Source organism: Homo sapiens, chromosome X (assembly GCF_000001405.40).
Source record: "Homo sapiens chromosome X, GRCh38.p14 Primary Assembly".
Classification (NCBI taxonomy): Eukaryota; Metazoa; Chordata; class Mammalia; order Primates; family Hominidae; genus Homo; species Homo sapiens.
This window is the reverse complement of record NC_000023.11, coordinates 37,685,328-37,708,160: the sequence shown is the minus strand read 5'-3', so window position 1 is coordinate 37,708,160 and position 22,833 is coordinate 37,685,328. Positions and strand designations below refer to the sequence as shown.

The following is a 22,833-nucleotide window of genomic DNA, read 5'->3' as shown; positions in this document are numbered from 1 at the left end:
TGTACTGCTGCCATCTCGGCTCACTGCAACCTCCCTGCCTGATTCTACTGCCTCAGCCTGCCGAGTGCCTGAGATTGCAGGCGCCCGCCGCCACGCCTGACTGGTTTTCGTATTTTTTTGGTGGAGATGGGGTTTCGCTGTGTTGGCCGGGCTGGTCTCCAGCTCCTAACTGCGAGTGATCCGCCAGCCTTGGCCTCCCGAGGGGCCGGGATTGCAGACGGAGTCTCGTTCACTCAGTGCTCAATGGTGCCCAGGCTGGAGTGCGGTGGCGTGATCTTGGCTTGCTACAACCTCCACCTCCCAGCCGCCTGCCTTGGCCTCCCAAAGTGCCGAGATTGCAGCCTCTGCCCGGCTGCCACCCCATCTGGGAAGTGAGGAGCGTCTCTGCCTGGCCGCCCATCATCTGGGATGTGAGGAGCCCCTCTGCCTGGCTGCCCACTCTGAGAAGTGAGGAGCGCCTCTTCCCGGCCGCCATCCCATCTAGGAAGTGAGGAGCGTCTCTGCCCGGCCGCCCATTGTCTGAGATGTGGGGAGCGGCTCTGCCCCGCTGCCCCGTCTGAGAGGTGAGGAGCATCTCTGCCCGGCCGCCCCGTCTGAGAAGTGAGGAGCCCCTCCGCCCGGCAGCCGCCCCGTCTGAGAAGTGAGGAGCCCTTCCGCCCGGCAGCCGCCCCGTCTGAGAAGTGAGGAGCCCCTGCGCCCGGCAGCCGCCCCGTCTGAGAAGTGAGGAGCCCCTGCGCCCGGCAGCCACCCTGTCTGAGAAGTGAGGAGCCCCTCCACCCGCAGCCACCCCGTCTGGGAAGTGAGGAGCATCTCCGCCCGGCAGCCACCCCGTCCGGGAGGGAGGTGGGGGTCAGCCCCCGCCAGGCCAGCCGCCCCGTCTGGGAGGGAGGTGGGGGGTCAGCCCCCGCCCGGCCAGCCGCCCCGTCCGGGAGGTGGGGGTCACCTCTGCCCGGCCGCCCCTTCTGGGAAGTGAGGAGCCCCTCTGCCCGGCCACCACCCCGTCTGGGAGGTGTACCCAACAGCTCATTGAGAACGGGCCATGATGACAATGGCGGTTTTGTGGAATAGAAAAGGGGGAAAGGTGGGGAAAAGATAGAGAAATCGGATGGTTGCTGTGTCTGTGTAGAAAGAAGTAGACATGGGAGACTTCATTTTGTTCTGTACTAAGAAAAATTCTTCTGCCTTGGGATGCTGTTGGTCTATGACCTTACCCCCAACCCTGTGCTCTCTGAAACATGTGCTGTGTCCACTCAGGGTTAAATGGATTAAGGGGGGTGCAAGATGTGCTTTGTTAAACAGATGCTTGAAGGCAGCATGCTCGTTAAGAGTCATCACCACTCCCTAATCTCAAGTACCCAGGGACACAAACACTGCAGAAGGCCGCAGGGTCCTCTGCCTAGGAAAACCAGAGACCTTTGTTCACTTGTTTATCTGCTGACCTTCCCTCCACTATTGTCCTATGACCCTGCCAAATCCCCCTCTGCGAGAAACACCCAAGAATGATCAATAAAAATAAAATAAAATAAAATTAATTAATTAATTAATTTTAAAAAAAAAGAACATTTGTCCTGGGCCCACCTGCACGACCTACAATACAATAATCTCCCAACCTCAATCTCTTTATCTGCAAAGTTCCCTTTGCAGATATAAAGTGACATACACAGGTTTCAGGGAGTAGAACCTGAATATCTTTGGGGTCATAATTTAGCCTAAAATATTACCTATGTAATCCTATCCTAAAAGTAGGGATTTGGCATCTTACCACAATAACACTTTTTTTCCCTGACTTTATCATGCCCTTGATTATTCTCTTCAAAAACAAAAAAAATTTGCATTAAGAATGTGTCAAGGTCTTTTGGATGTTTATCTAAACATTGTACTGTCACTTTAATTAATAGATAGCCAAGCTACAACCATTCATGTACTCAGTCACTCATGATCCTAACTTAATTCTCAAATCTTCTAGCAATTTTGCCTTTCAAAATAAAATTCAAAATTTTAAATGAAATAAAATGAAACTCTATAAATCTTTTACACTTAGACTTATCTTTGAGATTTCCAACAGAGTACCTAGAAAATAGGAAAGATTTGTTCTTTCACCTTATAAAAAGACAGATATTAGATAAAATTAGCTTTGTTGCTGTTAGTATTGATGAGTTGCATGGAAAAAAATAAAATCAAAAGAGGTGTTCTTCAGCCTGGGCAACATAAGTTAGATCCTGTCTCAAAAAAAAAAAAAAATCAGCCAGGCATGGTAGTGTGCACCTGTATTCCCACCTACTTGGGAGGCTCAGTGGGGAGGATGGCTTGAGCCCAGGAGTTTGAGGCTACGGTGAGCCATGATTGCACCACTGCACTCCATCCTGGGTGACAGAGTGAGACCCTGTCTCAAAAAAAAAAAGAAAGAAAGAAAGAAAGAAAAAGAAAAAGAAAAAAAGAAAAGAGGTACTCAGCCTTCCCTAGATTAAATCTGAATATGAAATATATTATTAGTATAAATATTTCAGAAGTTCTAGATTGTATGAGAAGTTCCTAGAGATTTGTCAGTGCCCCCACTGTCCATAGTATGTTTCTAATGATCATAGTCCTGCTGGTGCTTTCCTTCATAATATTAGGCAATAAAATTATAGTGTTAACAGTCATCATTTCAGTAGATTTCTAAAACTATCTAGTCACAACTTTCTCTTTTAAGTTATTTTTTTTTTTTTTGAGACAGAGTCTCGCTCTTTCACCCAGGCTGGAGTCCAGTGGCGCGAGCTCGGCTCACTGCAAGCTCCACCTCCCGGGTTCACGCCATTCTCCTGCCTCAGCCTCCCAAGTAGCTGGGACTACAGGCGCCCGCCACCACGCCCGGCTAATTTTTTTTTTTTTGTATTTTTAGTAGAGACGGGGTTTCACCATGTTAGCCAGGATGGTCTTGATCTCCTGACCTCGTGATCCGCCCGCCTTGGCCCCCCAAAGTGCTGGGATTACAGGCGTGAGCTACCACGCCTGGCTTCTCTTTTAAGTTTTATGAAGCATCTTCCCTCATGGCTTTTTAAATTGAGGATACACATCAAATCTTTTTATGGAGGTATAGTAAAATACAGATGTCTAGAATCTACTGTAGACTTACTTCAAAATAGGATTAATCATTATGCTTACATATGTTTTGTTCAAAACTTTTTTACATTGGCTTTATTATCTTATTTTGTATGTCACAATTTCTTCTTCAGTTGTATTATGTTTGTTATGTACTTCCACTAGACTTTTCACTTTATCACAAGTCATAAGTGAACCACAGGCACTTTAAGTGTCTATCATCTCCAGATACTTTTTTTCTTTTGAGACGGAGTTTCATTCTTGTTGCCCAGGCTGGAGTGCAATGGCGTGACCTCGGCCCACTGCCACCTCCACCTCCAGGGTTCAAGCGATTCTCCTGCCTCAGCCTCCCGAGTAGCTGAGATTACAGGCATGCACCACCAAGCCCAGCTAATTTTGTATTTTTAGTAGAGACAGGGTTTCATCATGTTGGTCAAGCTGGTCTTGAACTCCTGACCTCAGGCTATCCACCTGCCTTGGCCTCCCAAAGTGCTGGGATTACAGGCGTGAGCCACCACGCCCGGCTGATACTTTTTTTTTTAAGAATTGTGGTCTCATTTTGTGGCCCAGGCTAGAGTGCAGTGGTGCAATCGTAGCTCACTGCAGCTCAGAACTCCTTGGCTCAAGAGATTCTCCCAGCTCAGCTTCCCATGTAGCTGAGACTACAGTTATATACCACCACATCCAGCTAATTTTTAAAATATTTTTGTAGAGACGGAGGTCTCACTATGTTGCCCAGGGTGGTCTTGAACTCCTGGCCTCAAAAGTTCCTCTTGCCTCAACCTTCTAAGTTGCTGGGATTACAGGCATGAGCCAGCATGCCTGGCTCTCCAGATAGTTTTTTATTTACACTGATGTTTCCCTAATGACCCTACAATCAGCTACAGGAGGGAGATTTTGTCTTCAGCAAAGAAGGATTGTCTTAGAGCACCATGAAAAACGTCACTACCTCAGGTACTTCAAAGACTAGGCTCCTGAACACAGGCTTCTCATGACATCACATCACCACATTTAAGATAATGGTTAGTGGACAGAGTCAGAATTTCCAGAACACCTTAACTGAGACAAATTTGTGTTCATAACACAGTTTAATACAATGTCCAGTGGAACAAAATCTAAGTTTGCAAAGTCCAAAGACCTATACTATAAAATCAGCACTTTTCTCCTGACCTGTCTGGCCTTACCCAAATAAAGCACAAGTGAATATTCTTGGGAGTGAGTTATTGAGTGCTTCCCAAGAAATCCAAGAGACCCTAACACCTTGGTATTGAAGACTTTAGCTTCTTTTTCTCAGAGGAGAACATTAAACACTTTCTCTTTTGAGACCCCTTTTTCAGGATACAATAGAGGAAAGAGCCCCAATAACAGGTAAGGAAGGCCAGGCCATCATTCTACTGTGCTGCCCACTCACCATGTGACTTTATAAGAGCTGATTACTATCACTGGGCCTCAGTGGCCTCAGCTGTAAAATGGAGACCCTGTACTCTGAACCCTATTTACCCATTTTCCATAGAACTATTTTGTTAGGAAAAGAGCACAGTCATAAGTACACATCTCTAGCTGAGTTTTGAAATAATTTTTCCATTTTTCTCACTGGAAACTGATGGGTCCCCAAGTAAACTACACTGTAGGAGACCAGAACCCAGTTCTGCCTCTCCTTTCATGAAGACTCCCTTTCACAGTTGCCTTGGTGAATTCTTTTTATCCTACATTTCAGAACTCAACAATCTCACATCTGCCGCATCTAACATGCCCCACTGATGCTAATTGGTTTCCTTAATATCTTTTGCTTTAACAGAAGTAGTTCAGCAACATTTTCACCAGTATTATGCTAAAGTCCTAAATATAAGAAGGATAAATCTGTTTTCATGAAGACTCTGAAGGAGAAACAATACCAACTGTAGGTCCTGTTTACTGCTTTTCATTAGATTTAAAATCTAAATCTAAATCTAAAAAGTTTGAGGACTGGTACAATGAAATATCTGTTACCAGTCAGTTATGATAAGTATGGACATTGAGAGCTGGCATTTAGGAATCTGTATAGCATCTGATTTAGCCACAACATTTAAATTAGTGGGCTCACTTTTTGAACAAGGTATATACCAGTGCAGTTGTTAAACTCAAATGACAAGTCAAATATGAGTGGCATACTAGTAATACAACCACATATCAGTTCACAATTTACTGGAACAAGAAAAACAAGGAAGTTTGCTACTACTGGTCCTACCCCAATGATATTTTGAGAAGCAATGCACAATATACTACTTCATTAAATGAGATTGATTGTTCTGAGTACTGTGAACTTAGAATTAACTTGTAGTGAGAGTAACAAACTCAAGTATCTCTATTAATCAGACAACTACTATAAATTAATGAAGTGAATCAGATATGGGACTTTATAGGGAAGAGTGTGGAAGGAATGTGGCAAACCAGAGGCCCAGTCTTCATGGTGCAGTAGCTAGTCATCTCTATGTGACTGTAATCATGTGTACCCTCCTTTTTACTTCTCAAGAGAGCCAGAAATCCAGACTTTCAGGTAAAATGTTATTGATTTTCAAATGCTACCAGCTCATTAATTTTCTTTTAAGATGTCTGCTTAGAACTAGCAAACCTATCTGCCATCCAGATTGAGTTGTAAGATGCCACTTTGTAGACTGCGCTTTAGGAAATAATATATTAGAGATTAGTACTGTCAGGGTTGTCCTTAGGGCCATGTGGAAGATGTGCTTGTCTAAATCCCAGAAGTCTTTCTTGCCATATCATGTCCACTGAACCTCATATTTCCAGGCACCTCATTGTCAAGCTGCCCACCCCACCACTGCATGATTCCTTAGGGAGCGCCGTGGAGCACTCCCAGCCTTAGCCCAGCTGCTCGCTTCCTCTTCTGTGCATTTGAGCTGCAAGCAGGCCTCTCTCCAGCAGCTTCAGGTGGGGAGTCTCCTTCAGCTCATCACTTCATGGCAACAGCAGCACCCCCTCCCCTGGCCGAAGTGAAACATCTTTGTGTCCAGGACATGGGTTTCTCACAGCCCAGTTTTTAAACACATAACCGCTATTTCCTTCATTCTCAGGACACTCCTGTGAATTAGCCAAAGGCCAAGCTGGGTCCTTCTGCTTAGACAGAGGCAGAGAGAGGGCGAGTCACAAGGCAGGAGGAGAAAAAGGGACACCAGAGTGGGGACTGCCTGGCTCGTGTCCCTCTTCCGCTGTCTCCTTCCTCTGCTGGGCACTCTCCTGTCTCTCCATAGGGCTCAGCAGGATGTCACTCTCACAGCCAGTGGCCCAAGTGCCCAACAGTAACCTGAGAACCAGACCCAGATGTACCCTGGGGAAGCCTGCCTGCGTGTCTGGGGTTAGGGGAGGAGACAGATGCAGCTGCTTATTAAGGGCCACACTGTGCATATCCAAAGTGGACTCAATCTTTGGGAAAACTAAAGATAGAGGGACTCTCTGCTATTTTACACATGAGCAAACCTGCCCAGCAGGAGTAAATGAAAGTCCAAGATCACATGGCCAGAAAGTGGTGAACTAGGATCTCAAACCCAGGTTGTCTGATCTGTTATTGAATCTGGCTGGGCAGCATCTGGCCAACAGGCAGCAGAATGTGGCCACAGAGGATCCAAGGAACAGGTGAAAACCTAAAATATGGACATTCACAGGCAAGGGGACAGATTGCTACAACACTTGATGTGACACCTTTTTTAAACAGTACAGAGCACAAGTTTTTAAAAGTACAGTACATGCTTTAGAGGCCATCACTCAAGACAGAATTACATAGGTTATTTCTATACCTTTTGAACCTGTTTTTGGCCATTGATAACTCTATGCTGTTCTATGAAATACATGATCATACACAGATTATTTTTTCTGGGAATGCGATTGATAATTGTGTTTATAATGGAATACATTTACAAATAAGTTTTGTAATATTTTGTAACCATTAAGAACTGATTGGATTGCATGTCCTAGGCCAGAGAGCTTTTATATAATGTTACTACTTAATTTAACAGTGTCCACAAGAGGACAGAAGAATATATTCCAAACAATGTGTCATAGTACCAGTTACTAATCCCTGTCTCAAGTCCTCTTTTGGAATGAGGCAGGGTACAAATAAATAAATAAAATAACATGACCATAACTTTTTTTTTTGCATTTTTTCCTTATGTTTTCCCCATCACTCCTCAATCTCCATGTAAAGCCTGTCCCATGAAGTTCATGCCAGCTAGTATGCAGTGTGCCCCCTCTCCACCCATCCCTGTGGCTACTGCCCTCTGACTTCAGACCTTTGCTATTCTGAATAAAGCCTCCCGCACCTCAGTCAGAGTCTGCAGCTCCACCCTAGGTCCCAGCATCAGGTTAGGAATTTATCAAGCCTAGGAGGCTCCCAGCAACTACCTGGCCTCACAAGGCCTTCCAGTTCAAAGCCAATGAGGAAGTCTCTATATCTTTATCCCCAGTCAGCTCCTCCCGCCAGGGCCAGTGCTCTCACCAACCACTGGAAACTGCCCCTTCTAAAATCACTGATTCAAACACCCCACACTGGCAACACCTTCCACCCATTCAGCTCTCTATGGGATAGCTTCTCCTGGATGTCTCAAGGACACCTCCAACCCAAAATGAGAGAACCTGAGAGAAGTCAGGGGCACTGTCATTAAAGACTTTAATAGCATGGGCTGATGGCAGCAGCCTGGGGTCTCTCATCTATGGGAATTTTTGAGGCTGGATGAAATTGTTGATGAAGTCCTGCCAGGTTCTCAGACCCAAGCATCCCTCCTTCTCGGGCTGGGGCACCTCATCAACCTGATGGTGGGTACATCCTCCAAGAGGCATCTGAGCTGCTTATCCTTGTGCATGGCCCTCTCTATGTGTTCTGGTGTGATGCGCACCCTGCAATTGTTCTGGGCCTTCTTGCCTGCCTGCTCCAGGATGTTGGCCATCAGATACTAGAGAATAACAACCAGGAAAACAGGTGTGGATGAGCTCAGGCACTGGGCATACTGACCTCGCAGAAAGCCGTCCATGTGGCTAACAGGAAACTGCAGCTAGGCTTTTGTGGAGCAGGGAAGAATCTCCTTTCTAAGGCTCCTTTTTGCCTTCACATGGTCTTGGTGAGTTTTGTTTTGATCAGCCCTCGTCGATTTTCCCACTAGCCTGAGCCTCTCCAGGTACCAGTGCTTATTCCCGCCCACTGTGCTCCAGGCCCTCCTTGGTCAGGGAGCTGCCTTCAAGACAACCTCAACTTTGTGATATTATTGGTGTTCACTGAGCCCTGATCAAGCCCGGCCTCAAAATGTTTCTGACAGGAACCTGCTCACCCTAATAACTGGACCGTCTTTTTGAGGAAAGTCTAACTTTGTACTTGACTTAAACATTCTAGCAACAACAAAAAAAATGTGTTTCAATCAAAACATTGTCCTGTCTTCAGTATACCAATCCAGGTTCTCTGATTCTAGCTTTGTATTGCCAGTGAGCTCATTTACATTCTTCTGTAAGCTATAAGTCACTAACAGACATGCTCAATGTCTTGTACAGTAGAGGTTCAAATGTCACCCCCCCATGCTGTAATAAAACCAGTTTTACTTCCATTTACATATTCATTTTGATATCTCTAGTCAATATTCCTATGTCTGTCCTTTGGGTTATCTTATAAGCTGGTCCGAAGAGAACATCTGCTTGTTCTCTCATGAGTTAAATAGAATCTTTAAAATGTATTCATTTCTTTAAGTCTGGAACTGAAAGTAAAATATACCTCGCAAACCTGTCACTACCAAGACAAATGGAGATCCATGGCTACAGCAGTCCATATCAGGAACTGGGAATTATTCTTGACATCTCTCACTGCCTCACCTTCATATCCAATCAATCATCACATTGTTCCACTTACGCATTCTTAATATTGCTCCAATAATCCACTCTGACTATTCCAGTCCAGGCCATTATTCTCACCTTGACAACTATAGTAGCCCACTTCCTAGCCTCTCCATTTGTTTCTTCACTCTCTTCAAATACATTTTGCAGAGTAATCAGTTTCTAAAACTAAATTTGATCATGACACTTGTTGCTTAAAACTCATCAGTGCCTTCCCATTGCCTCTGGAATAAAGCTTGAAATCCTGGGATGCTCTTTCCTGATTTTTCTTCACCTGGCTTCTTTTCTTCATCTAGCAGTTTTCAGTTTAAATCTAAGTTTTGGAAACATTTGCCTCATTTCCCAGACTCGGTTAGACAACCCCCAATATACCCTCAGAGAGGCTACTTATCTTTCACTTTGCAGGATTTACCTTAAATAAAATATGCATTTGATTAATAATTTGTGTGATGTTTATATATCCTATTTGAAGATGATTGGGGCCTGCCTACCTTATTCACCACTTTATCCTCAGAGACCAGCACAGGGTCTGAAACACAGAACATACCCAAGAAATACTCATTGAGTCCATAAATAAAGTCACACAAATCTAACCTCAAATTCTGGCTCCTCTATCTGACTATAAGTACAATTTTCCTCCTCTTTTTTTTTTTTTTTTTTTTTTTTTTGAGGCAAGGTCCTCCCAGGCTCAAGCAATCCTCCCGCCTTATCCTCCCAAGTAGCTGGGACCACAGGCATGCACCACCACTCCCTGCTAATTTTTGTATTTTTTGTAGAGATGGGGTCTCGCCATGTTGCTCAGGGTGGTCTCAAACTCCTGGGGTCAAGCGATTTGCCCACCTTGGCTTCCTAAAGTGCTAGGATCACAGGTGTGAGCCACTGTGTCTGGCTCAATTTCCCTCTTTACTAAGATGGAGATAATATTATCTACCTCAGGGACACTGAAAATGAAACACAAGGATGCCTATCACAGTGCCTGGCACAAATCAAGGGTTCATGAAACAGCCATTTTTACTACCAACATTACCACCTTGAGTAGAATAGAGAAGGGCACTGTGAGGGCCAGGCAAGCCAAATGGCAGGCTGCAGGGGCCTTCACAAAGCACAGTAACATTGGTATGCTCACTTAGGCTTCAACCCAACCCATCCTCCAAGATCTGGAGACTTGAGCAAGCCCTTGCTGAGAACTGATTAGACTCAGGGAATCTCAGGATGCCCAAATTCACCCAAGACTGAAGCTCACAGACACAGTGTCCGTTATTCACTGACTATGAGAAAGAAAACTTCCCAATAGCATATGATTCCACTGATATGAAAGATTCATAATAGTCAAATCCATAGAGACAGGAAGTAGATTAGTAGGCTGCCAGGGGCTAGGGGCAGGGGAAATGAAGAGTGACTGTTAATGAATAGGGGACTTATTTTTGGTGTGATGAAAATGTTCTAAAACTAGACAGTGGTGGTGATTGTATAACATTGTCAATATATTGAAACCTACTGAATTGTACACCCAAAGTAGTGAAATTTATGTTATATGAATTATATTGCAATGAAGAAAAACAATAACTCTCCAGTGACCATGTAGCTGGCTCTCCCTTCTCTCCCTCATGGCAAACTCTGCTAATGCCAAATCCATCAATGTTTGCTCAATGAGCACAGAATCAGAGAGAGAGGAGAGAGTTACAGAATTTGAATGCTGAATAGGGTCATGTTGTGATGGACTCTATGTCCTTCTGTCAAGAGGGACACATTTCTATTCATCTGGACTGCATTTAGATGATGTGGCAGACACTGTCAGTTGCCTATTCATTTTCCATTCCTCTCACTATCTTAAGAGAACATGGTTTTGTTATGGGTGGCAATGGGCCCAACCACACGCAGGCCATGACTAGTCTAATCCAATGTTCTCAAACTTTGCTGATAATAAAATCACCTGGAGCCCTTGTTTAAATAACAAAAGGGAAATAAAAAGAAAACACATAACCTTGGCTCCCATCCCAGACACAGCAAATCACAATTTCCAGAGATGAATCCTGGTAATCTATATATTTAACAAGCCCCCAGGTAACTCTAATCATCATCATCAGGGAAGTTTGAGGAATATTAGTCTAAGCCATTGGTGGCAAACATTCCTAGACCTGGCTTTCCTAGCATCCCTTTAAGCTAAATGACTGATCAGTTCTGGTCAGAGACCTAAAGTCATTTCTGTTAGGGAGATTTCTGGAAAAGCTATAGTTTTTAATAAAAGGAGGAAGACAAAGTAAAGTCTATTAGGGAAATTTATGAAAAAGCTATATTCATTAATAAAAAGAGAAATATATCTACCCTTCCTTCTTCAGCCCTTCTTCCTATTTTGAATGTAGCTATGATGGTTGGAAATGCAGTAGCAACCCAAGCAAAAGGCCAATGGATTGGCAGGGACATCAACTTTGCCACTATTGAGCAGCTGAAATACTGTCAGCAACTGTCTACTTCCAATTTCCAGTTAGATAAGAAAAATAAACTCTAGGTTAACTTTACAGTTAGGTGTTTCTTCCTTGCACCAAATGCATTTCTAACCACATGACAGACACTACCAACATTTGCCTTTGTGGCACACCCTAGACCATGCTCCATTCATAAGGGTCTTACCCTTTCCGGGTGAGATATTCCCTCCTTATATATGTTAAGGCAGTGATTGGGGTTAGTCAAGACCTGCATAAATGGCAGCCATCTATCTTTTTAACAAGACCATGCCCACTTCCTTTTTCCATATCTATTTGATTTATCATTTAACTCTCAGAGGACTTCTGTTTTTCCAAGTTCTTTTGGGACATTTCAGATATCCCTTGTGACACTGACATTTTACAAGACAGATTTTATTTTTCCTGAACAGAATTATGTCTGAAAAATTATAACAAGGGTTGGCAAACTTTCTTTGTAAAAAGTTAGTAAATATTTTAGGCTTTGTGGGCCACATTATGTTTATTGCAACTACTCGACTCTGTTGTTTTAGTCCCAAAACAGTCACAGACAATACATAAATGAAAGAGCAGGGCTGCATTCCAATAGAACTTTATTGACAAAAACGGGCAGTGCCCAGATTAGGCCCATGGGATGTAGTTTGCCAACCCTTCAACTGTGAGACAATCTTCACTAAAAAAACTTGAGGAAAAAAATTGGATCTACCTCTAAAAATCAAATAGGCTATCATCACATCTGATTTCTTGCTGTATCCCTGCCACTTGGAAAAACAATAAACTAGGAAAAAGAGTATAGTGGCATGCAGCTTGGTCAAGACCCATTCCAGTTATAATTCCTTAGAGAACACGGATGTTGCTATATTTATTGAGCTTTTACTCCCTACCAGGTGTTGCGGAAAGTATTTACATATAAATGTTGATCCATTAAGGTTCAAGATCTCTACTTAAGATCCTGACTCATATTTTAAGAATCATAATCAGGCAACCTGGATAAGGGAGATGGCTCTAACATGTAAGTATCCTGTGACTCTGACATGAATTATTACTAGCCAGTCTAAAACATAGGCAGAAAGAGGATAAAACTGAGTGAAGTAAAATAAATAAGAGTCTTTCTTATCTTCAATGTTTTCTTAAACATGTATTTTTTCAACTTACGGCTTTTAAATCATTTTGTATACCGATAATAAAACTTACCATAATGGTTTTCGTTTACCCATAATATTAATACTTGGGAGGGGGTTGTTTCCACTTCTCATTTGTAGGCTTTTCATTAAAATCTTGACTCTGATGCAAATAGTGTTTTTTTTTTTTAACTTAACCAAAATCTGCTCTTAATTTGATGATGTGAGAATAGCCCAAAGGTAGAATATTGTCTTGACTTATAAACTGATATACCTATTACAAGTCTAAGAAGACAGGAAAGTGGCCTTGTTCCATTATTCACCACAAAGTTGTTAAGCCAACTGTCTCAACTAGTTTAGAACTAGCACTGAAAGACAGAGTGAAATCCCAAGAGAAGCAGCCTCCAGTAGCTGTGTTTTCAGCCTCTGGTAAACTGTATTTTCTAAAAATGGCCACAGTGGTATTTTTGGTCCCAGGTGATCTTCTAGAACTCTACCATTCCACAACAAGAGTCAGAGTTTGCTTCCCTCTCCTCTCCCTTGAATCTGGGCAGAACTCTGTAAGTATTTCAACAATGAGAAGGAAGCAGAAGTGATGTCCCACAACTCCCAAGCCTGGATCACAAAAGCTGATGTGGCTTCCATCTGGCCTTCCCTCCTTCTTAGAACACTCACCCTTGGAAGCAGCTACCATGCTATAAGGAAGCCCAAACTCACCCACACAGAGAAATCAAATGGAGAAGATCTGAAACTCCCAGCAACAGCCAATATCAAAACATGTGAACAACAAGACATGTGAGTGAAGGGGCCTTGAATAGATTCTAGCCCCCTACCTTTGAGCCACCCTAGCTGATCCACAGTGGATCACAGATTAGGTAACCCTTTTGAGCCCTGCCTAGAATGCAGAGTCATAAGCAAAATAAACGTTGTTATTTTAATTGAGTTTTGAGCATAGTAACTAGAACACAGATTCAGAATTAAGTGCACTTAAGAACAAATTTCCTTTGAAACAAAATAAACTGCATATTTTGCTTCTCATTTTGATCCCCAAATGCAGGCAGAAATAAAAAATACACGTACTTCTTCCAACAGTGACGTCCTGCTGCATGACACTTATGTACAGCTGTAGGGTCAGCTGGGGGGCTGAGCCCAAGAAAGCCTGGATCACCGACGCCCGGCTGAACGCTGATCGGTGGGTGATTAGTTTGCCTTCTGCCTGGCCCACCTCCTTCTCAATCTCCTCTGAGAGGCCATTTTTTGGCATTTGCCTCTTCTTGGTGATACTGACATAAGGCTCTTCATTGTTGCCTGACTGAAAGTAGATGCAGAAGACTTCAAAACACCTGAAAACAAATCAGGAAATCATAATAATTAGAGACAGACAGGATTCTGACTTTCCATGCTCATCCTACTTACCTTTAGCCTGATTCTTAAAGCCTTGACTTGGCTACTCTGAACTATAGTCACTCTTCTAAATCAACTACTCCAAGGACCAGTTCTCAGTATGCAGTCCTCTTGATGCTTTCCAGCAGGCCAATGGGAATTGAATGAGAACCAAATGAAGAGGTAATACCAAAGGCCACTGAAGCAAGGAAATCTCTTAGAGAATGGAAAGTGGTTCCGGCTCCAGAGCCACAGAAAAAATGTGCAGTTTCCCTTCCTGACACATACTAGCTGTGTAGCCATAGCCGAGTCACCTACTATCCCCACCCCAGCACATTCCCTCCACTATAAAGCAGATATAATACCCACTTTGTCATATTGCTGTGAAAAATGGTGATTATATAGTGTGACTGCATGCATGCATGCACGCACACACGTGTGTGTGTTCCACATCCAAAAGATGCCCCAAACCACCCCAGTTAAAGCAGAAGCTATGGCTCGGAAATCCTCCAGCACAGGGCAGCTTGCCATCTAGCATTTCACTGGGAGACCACAACATGTTACCTATCTCTGTTTTCATAAGTCCTTACAGGGCGGGACTAAAGTCAGTCCCAGACTTAATCAGTGACTTTTCCAGACTGAGAGAATACCTGGCTTTTAAAATTTGGATTTCCTCTCTAGGTAAAAATATGGATGCTGAAGTGGGAAGAATACTGATGTCTGTGATTAACTTTGAAGTACATACACACACACACACACACACACACACGAATTGATAGATGGATAAATATGTGAAACAAAATGTTAATTGTAGAATCTAGGTGGTGAGTACTTGGGTGTTCACTATAGAATTCCTTAAACTTGTCTTCTGTGTGTTTGAAAATTTTCATAATAAAATGCTGGTTAAAAATGTGTTTTCCCTAGGAGTAAGAAAAATATTCATGGCCGTAGGTTTGTAACTTGTTAAAGGACTTTTTGTCCCTCCTCTAACATGCACTTTTATAACAACCTTATGATGCTGCCAGAAGATTTTAATGGCTTAATCTATTTCATTGAATGTTTATGTTATAATGTTAACTTTATACTCTCATCCTGAGGTGACTACGGCAACTGGAATGTATTTATAATTTGAAATAATAAAATAAAGCTTGATGTAAGAGAGGAAATGCAGGAACCTTTCTGGTGAGCTCAAAGTGGACATATTTTGTGATTAATACCATTGTTCATTTGTTGCTAGGAGAAAGAAGGTGTATGGTGTGTGTGGGTGTGTGTGTGGGGGGGGGTTGATTTGTGTACGACATTTTGTCCCATGGGGTCAAGAACACTTTAATATATTACATGAAAACAATGTAAAACCACACAGACCAGTTTTTTCAGTTGGAAATAATGTCAATGAAGTTCAGGCCATGAGTTCAATCCCAAGCACGTCCAATTGAATTTTCTCTGAAGGAAAACTCAAATTAATGACTGAGGACTGTATGAGGCCTAGCAACTTTACACTGTTGGACCACTGATCACATCAAAGATTAGAAAACAGAATGAACTGGCCGGGGGCAGTGGCTCACGCCTGTAATCCCAGCACTTTGGGAGGCTGAGGCAGGCGGATCACCTGAGGTCAGGAGTTTGAGATCAGTCTGGCCAACATGGTGAAACCACATCTCTACTAAAAATTAAAAAATTAGCCAGGCATGGTGGTGCACCCTTGTAGTCTCACCTACTCGGGAGGCTGAGGCAGGAGAATTGCTTGAACACAAGAGGCGAAGATTGCGCCACTGCACTCCAGCCTGGGTGACAGAGCGAGACTCTGTCTCAAAAAAACAAACTAAAACAAAACAAAAACAGAATAAACTGATAATCATCTTTATTCTCAAATATGAGATGAATGCGGGTGTGGTTTACTAAGTGCTGTGGGGAATGCAGACAGCTGGATACCCCTGCCTCATTTGGGGGCACTCACAATCTAAATGGGATAGTGGGACATATGCACAATAATAATAATAATAAACGAAAATTAATATTTATATAGCACTTTTAGTTATGACATGTTATCACGTATGATCTCACTTAGAAGAAAACGTATTGCAACAATTTAAATCATAGCATTATGTATAATAGCAAAATGCTGGGAATACTCTAAAGGTCCCAAAAATGAAAGAATAATTAAATAAACCCTAATATATCAATTCAATGAAACATTATACATTCCTTAACATCAATGGTATAGAAGTACATATACCAATATATAAATTTTTTTTAAAAGACAGTCTCACTCTCTCACCAACGTTGGAGGGCAGTGGTGTGATCATAGCTCACTGCAGCCTCCAACTGCTGGCCTCAAGGGACCCTCACTCCTGAGCCTCCTAAGTAGCTGGGACTCCAGATGCATGCCACTGTGCCCAGCTAATTTTATTTTTTGTGAGGAAACAGTCTCACTATGTTGACCAGGCTACGTATTTTTACCATATTTGGTATGTGAAAGAAGCAAATTACAATAGAATCATATATTTTAAATTCCATTTTTTGTAAAAAGAAAATCACATATATAAAAAATATATACAGATTACACACACATACCCACACATACATATAAACAGTGAAATGTTTGAGCTGGCTCATACTGACTCAAGAGAGCAGACTGTTAAAATAGGAATTTTGTGAGCCAGTTGTTAAACAACTGGTAGCTTGATCAATCATGATGAGAATATACGCATTTGAGAAATCAGCAAACACTGAAAATCAGGGCTTGTTTTCCCCAACAGTTTACTAGCATACCATTATAAAAATATTAGTAAAGATATACAACAAAAACATTAGGAATTGTTCTGTCTGAGCAGTCAAATGAGAGCTTTTATTTTCCTCATTGTGCAAATCTGTTTTCTGCTCTTCTGTCATTTCAAAAAATGTTTTACTTGCATAATAAAATCAAGCTTAGAGTTTTGAAAGACTAAAACATACAAATTAAATACCAGCATATGCTAAGAACTGAATGAACGAAATGAGGGTTCAGAGGAGAAAGTAATTTTCTTGATGCGAAGGAAGGGGCTATATGAAACTGGAAGCTTTCTGCAGAATTGTAGACAAAGTAAAACTTCCATGATCAGTTGATGGAAATGAAAGAAGGTCCTAAAGCTCAGGCGGAACCTCTTGTAAGCCACTGTTTTTTCCCAGGTGATACATTTGTATTAGCATAGAGTTTTACATGTAGTCATAGGTGTTTAATACATTTGTAAAAGGCCCCAAGACCTCCTGCCACTGTTGGTTAGGAAAACTGATAAGAAACAAACTACTATTCTTGGAATTCTGCAAGACTCATCTAATTACTCAAAATCTGTTCTTATTTTTTGGTTTTTTATTTGTTTGTTGCTTGAGAGGTCTAAATAAAGCCAGAAATTAGATACTTTTATCAAAACTGAATACTCAAGGTAGTTTTTCAGTATCATCTACACCAAGGGACAGCAAATTTTCTGTGAAGTATTTATAAAAAAGTAAATATTTTATGATTCACACGCCATGGTCTCTGTTGCAACTGCTCAAGTCTGTCTCTGCAATGTGAAAGCAGTTGTAGCCAGTACATAAACCAGTGAGCAACGCTGTGTTCCAATAAGACTTTACCTACTAAAACAGGTGATGGGGGTATTAGGCCTGTGGGGTACAGTTTGCTAACCCCAATGTAGATAATCAGTAGGTTGATCCTTATTTTTTACTTTATCCCATTTTCAAGCATCATATATCCCACTTTTCAAGTATCATAGCAGAAGGAGCTTATTCCTTAGCTGAAATCATGCATGCTGATGTGAGCATAAATAATCTGTGGTACCAGAGACCCTAATTAAAATACTTTTTCCAAAGAAATACTATAATTTCCAATAAGCCACATTATCTTCACATGACACACATGCTCTGTAAGCCTACACAAAACCCAAATTGGTTAAATAGAAAATGCTGCAAAACCTTTGAAAAGCCACTTGCTTAATCTCACTGAACCTCAATTCCTGGACTGTAAAAATAAGATAATGACAGTTAACTCACAGGGTTTTACCATGGATGAAATTAAATACTGTATGTAAAAGCACCTTGCAAATGAAAAAAAAATTCTCTTCAAATGTAGACTATTAATATTTTAAATTCTTTATAAAGTTTAATATAGAAAGATATACTATGGTGAATCATTTTGCAATGTTCTGGAAAGGTTTCGGGAACTTCTTAGCCTTTATTTTATAAGCTCAGATTTTTCATGTACCATTTTTTCCTCACTATACCAGTAATAAAAAAGAAATGAGGGGAATTCCTTGAAATTGTAACTCATTTATATTTATTCCTCCCAATTAATTTATAAAAATTAGCATAAATGTAAAAGAATGATAAACAGAATTTTTAAAATGTTTTTGTGTTTTAGGTAAGAGATCTTTTCCCTGCTCTGGTTTGCTAGAGTATCTATTATAATGCGCAATAAGATTTTCCTTAAAATTATAAATAAATTCAAGGCATTATCCAAAGTTCGTATCATTCAAACTCAGGCTTAATGTGAAAACAATCATAAAAACTGTAACTACCATTTTAAATACAAGACTGATACAAATGAAATATGGTGCTCTCCCTATGCCTCCCTAAAGGAAAGAAGGAGCAAAGCCTAGTTAGTAGTATTTAGTCCAGAATCATTAGTGTAATGTATTGCAGTTTAACTGGGCCATCGTGCTGCATGAACTCAAACGCAGCATCTACCTAGCAAAAACACGAGTTTGGCTAGTACTCATCCAAAGGCAAGAAGAGTTAAACTGTCAAAAAACAATTTAGAAATATTATTAAATCCAATCCATAAGGAAGGGGGTAAGAATCACCATGCCTCTCCTTTGTTTGAGGGAAATAATTTTTATCTTTATGTAAAGCTGATGTCTTAGAGTTAAAACAGAATCAAACAGTCAGCAGGAAGAAATTCCAGTAAGATATTAAGTCAGGCTAATACACAAGAACAAACTGCTTTTCTTTTAATCTGGAAGCTAAGAGACTTGGAACCACATTTTGTATCTCAGCTCTAAGGTCATGGGTCCAATAACTCCTTGAAATAAATCAGCTGCATTAGAATCAGTGACTCCTTGTTGATGGAAGGGGTTTGCCTGTTGTTTTGTTTTTTATCTTTTATTTTGTTTTTGCTCCAAGAAGACAATGGCCCATTCAGAACTTTCTGGAAATAGGTCTTTTTATAGTGTTGAAACTTTATATATAGCTGAGAAGTTATCTCTTCAAAGCACCAAAAGTTTTCTTTCCTTAATAAAGTTAAAATATTTTTATGGTAAAAACTGAAAAATATAGAAAAGTAGATAATTGTTTTATTATATAGTTTTATATATTTTCCAGGATATTATCACTCATAACCCCACTATTCAGAAATTATTATTCTTAACATCTTGGTATGTTTCCTTGAGTTCAGGTTTATACTTGTCATCCTGTTTTTATATATATTATGTCATTAGCTTTGTCTTGGGTTACTCTTCGTGTTTAGAAACACTTTAAATGGCAGCAATGATAGGGTATTATCATTTATTGGATTGCCAAGATGACCAAACTTTTTCTTAATTTAAAATGGAACTACTAATAGAATGTACTACACAGTCCTCTGCTTTCTTCCACTGAGCATAGGGAATATAATTAGCTCTTTTTAAGGAGGCTTGAGAACATAGTCTGAGGCCTCATTTTCTTCACCTACAAAATGGGGACAATTACGTCTATGTCATGGTGAGGATTCAATGAATTGAGGCATGTAAGTACATATCAAACCATCTAGCACAAGAAGCTTTTGAGAAATGTCAGTTCCCCTTTTTCCTGTTACTCCACTTAAACATTATCTGTTTTCTTCTCACAGATAATGTTAAGAAATGATAAGGCCGGGCACGGTGGCTCACGCTTGTGGTCCCAGCACTTTGGGAGGCCGAGGCAGGCGGATCACGAGGTCAAGAGATTGAGACCATCCTGGCTGGCACGGTGAAACCCCGTCTCTACTAAAAATACAAAAAAATAAAATTAGCCGGGCGTGGTGGCGGGCGCCTGTAGTCCCAGCTACTCAGGAGGCTGAGGCAGAAGAATGGCGTGAACCTGGGAAGCGGAGCTTGCAGTGAGCTGAGATCGCGCCACTGCACTCCAGCCTGGGCGACAGAGCAAGACTCCGTCTCAAAAAAAAAAAAAAAAAAAGAAAGAAAGAAAGAAAGAAAGAAAGAAAGAAATGATAAGTGCCCTGCCCAAAGTCAGATCACACTTATTTTACTGAGCAAGAATACAGTCCAGACCACAGGGCTTACCTGGCTAGGAAGGACTAACTCTCTCCTCACTAAATGGCTCCAGGTTGCAGGACTTTTAAAATTCCCCTCCCTCCCTTTCTTTTTCCCCAGACTCTTCCCCAGCTATCAAGAAGTCAGCAGCAACCTCCCACTCCTGCCAGTGTACCTGTTTATTTTCCTTTCTAGGATTCTGCAGCTTCTGGAGGCTGAGAAATTTGTTCACCAAGTTTGCTGTGACTGTGTGCAAACTACAAGTCAGTAGTTTGTGTGTCAGCTGGAACAGTTTTCTTTAATATGAGGTGCAAAAATTTTATGGCCAGGCGTGGTAGCTCATGCCTGTAATTCCAGCACTTTGGGAGGCCTGGGCAGGAGGATCATTTCAGCTCAGGAGTTCCAGACCATACTGGGCAACATAGAGAGAACTTTAGGAGGCCCAGACAGGAGGATCACTGGAACTCAAGAGCTCGAGACCAGCCTGGGCAACATAGGGAGACTCTGTCTCTACAAAAAATACAAAAAAAAAGAAAGAAAAAAGAAAATTAGCCAGGCATGATGGCGCTTGCCTGCAGTCCTAGCTACTCTGGAGACTGAGGCAGGAGTATCACTTGTGCCCAGGAGGTGGAGGATGCAATGAGCTATGATCTTGCTACTGCACTCCAGCCTGGCTGATAAAGCAAGACCTTGTCTCAAAAAAAAAAAAATTATAACTTTGTAAAATTTATCTTGCTCCTCAATGTGTGTGTGTGCGTGTGTGTGTGTGTGTGTGTGTGTGTGTGTGTAAGAGAGAGAGAGAAAGAGAGAGAGAGAGAGAGAGATTTCCTGGTAGGGCTAGCTGAATTTTCTGGCAGCTGAGGTGTCTCTCTGGCCTTTCCATCTCTTCAAATTCCTCTGTCGCCTATGTCTAAAATTCAGTATTATAAACTTATTTCTAATCCAAATGGACGGCCTTTGTTTTGCTTTTCCTATAGTGATGAAAGGTACTAAAACAACACATTTTAAACTCCTTAGATAAGCCAGTCTGTTTTATTACCATGTATTTCTACTTGCTTTGTGTTAATAAAAATTAATTTCCAGAAATGTCACCAACAGTTTTTCTTTACTTAACACACAGCAAGTTTTGTTTTCATGGTGCATTGTGCACCAGCTTTAATGGCTACGTTTATAAGTTTGCCAGGGCCGGAAGACATTTCTAGAACCCCATATGTTTCCATATCCCATAATATTCGTAACGCCACCAAGAGAAAAGAATGGTGCATGGATTTCTTGACTTCCCTATGAGAATTAAATACTGTTAAAGCTTTTAGAACAGTGCTTGGCACACAGTAAGCTCCATGTGTTTGATAAATTAAAATTAAATCACCTGTACATGCTGTCCCCGTAACCACAGCTTAGAACACACTTCCCAAGGGTTTGTGACAACACAAGCCAATCCTGTCAGAGCCTACTTGACCCCAGAGAAACCAATGTCTTTAATGAGGTTGAACCACAAGAAACTGCCATTTTTGTTGGTCAATTTCAGTTGAATGTTGGCTATTTCATTTGACGGAACCTAACAGGAATTCAGTGTGCCCCAACTTTATAACCATTATGCCATGATTCGTCGCGTTCCTGACTGGAATAATGGGGCTGAGGGGCATGGCGGACCGGCTTGGGGCTCAGCCACCTGTCTCCACAGGAAAACCGCCTCCCTCCACTCGAGCAGGTGGGGAGATCAGGCTACAGGACCGAGGCTGCGGCCTGGGGCTGGCTCTGGGCTTCTGCACGCACCTGAAAAGGGGCCCAAGTTGCAGCAGGTGCAGCAGCAGTACGAGCGGGCGGTCGCGGCTGAGGTCGCGGTGTACGAAGAGAAGCGTGAGCTGCACGAGCGCGCAAGGCAGTAGCGAGAAAAGCAACGTCAGCGCCTGCCACATGCGGTCCCCGCCCGAGCGGTAGGTGCTGCTCAGGCTGAGCGCCGCCGTTGTCTCGGCCACGAACAGGAACACGGACGCCAGCACCGAGGCCGGGAATTTCATCTCCGCGCGTCAGCGGCGCTCACCGGGGACGGACGCAGTGGCGGCGGCTGTGTGGCTGTGGCGGCGGCGGCCGTTGCCCGAGGGGCTCCCAGCATGCCCAGCCCCAAACCGCTCCCGCGCTCTGCGCAGCCCGCCGAGGGCACGCGGGCCCGGCCGACCGGCCTGGGCTCTGGAACTGGACCTGGTGGGGGCGGCCGACCTGGCTGGGGTGGGGTGGGGTGGGGCGAGCTGCGCAGCCCCGCCGGGACACGCCCACGCGCTCCGTGCGCCGCCTGCTCGCTCGCTCGCCAGTGCCGGCTGCGTCTCTGTGGTGACCGTCCCCTGGCGGGCCGCGAACCCGCGCCCTACGACGGCTCAGGCCATGGAGCGGGAGCTCAAAAGGATGCAGTTCGCCCTGCGGGCGTCGCGCGCAGCCTCTGGGTCCTAGAGTCCCTTGGGTCCTATCTTGGGAAACCGTTCACATCCCTTTGAAAAACTGCAACCACCCGGGCCCAGAATTGGAGTCCGGGCGCCTTTCTAGCCCAGTCTATTTTCTGGGCCGAGGAAACGCGTGATTCTTCAAAGGGCCAGCATTTCTGGCCTTTTAAAAATAACCAGACCACACAGAGGCTTTTCAAAGTGCAAGTATATTGTC

General features: G+C 42.7%; 1 protein-coding gene and 1 pseudogene across 2 annotated transcripts in view, besides 4 other annotated features; both read right to left on the bottom strand.

Moving 5' to 3' along the window:
- Nucleotides 1-22,370, bottom strand: part of XK (X-linked Kx blood group antigen, Kell and VPS13A binding protein) — a 46,340-nt gene extending 23,970 nt beyond the window's left edge. The window contains exons 1-3 of one of the 2 annotated variants that reach the window (XM_011543978.4): nt 21,955-22,370; nt 13,613-13,875; nt 3,854-9,478 (exon numbers count right to left, since the gene is read on the bottom strand). In XM_011543978.4, coding sequence (XP_011542280.1) covers nt 9,384-9,478; nt 13,613-13,875; nt 21,955-22,199 — 603 coding nt within the window. In that variant the 5' untranslated portion in view covers nt 22,200-22,370 and the 3' untranslated portion in view covers nt 3,854-9,383. Of the gene's footprint in view, nt 1-3,853; nt 9,479-13,612; nt 13,876-21,954 lie in introns of those variants that run through there. The other variant, NM_021083.4, reaches the window with a different exon arrangement.
- H2AL1MP (H2A.L variant histone 1M, pseudogene) lies at nt 7,884-8,156 on the bottom strand (annotated as a pseudogene).
- Nucleotides 21,558-22,067: an enhancer, noted in NCBI's record as "H3K27ac-H3K4me1 hESC enhancer chrX:37545347-37545856 (GRCh37/hg19 assembly coordinates)". NCBI's record gives its function as "activates a minimal SCP1, AML or CMV promoter by ChIP-STARR-seq in naive H9 embryonic stem cells {active_cell/tissue: H9 hESC(naive)}" and the evidence as "EXISTENCE:reporter gene assay evidence [ECO:0000049][PMID:30033119]".
- Nucleotides 22,068-22,579: an enhancer, noted in NCBI's record as "H3K27ac-H3K4me1 hESC enhancer chrX:37544835-37545346 (GRCh37/hg19 assembly coordinates)". NCBI's record gives its function as "activates a minimal SCP1, AML or CMV promoter by ChIP-STARR-seq in naive H9 embryonic stem cells {active_cell/tissue: H9 hESC(naive)}" and the evidence as "EXISTENCE:reporter gene assay evidence [ECO:0000049][PMID:30033119]".
- Nucleotides 22,068-22,628: a biological region, named in NCBI's record as "H3K27ac-H3K4me1 hESC enhancer GRCh37_chrX:37544835-37545346".
- Nucleotides 22,249-22,628: a silencer, noted in NCBI's record as "silent region_20731". NCBI's record gives its function as "represses an Ori minimal core promoter by ATAC-STARR-seq in GM12878 lymphoblastoid cells {active_cell/tissue: GM12878}" and the evidence as "EXISTENCE:reporter gene assay evidence [ECO:0000049][PMID:35858748]".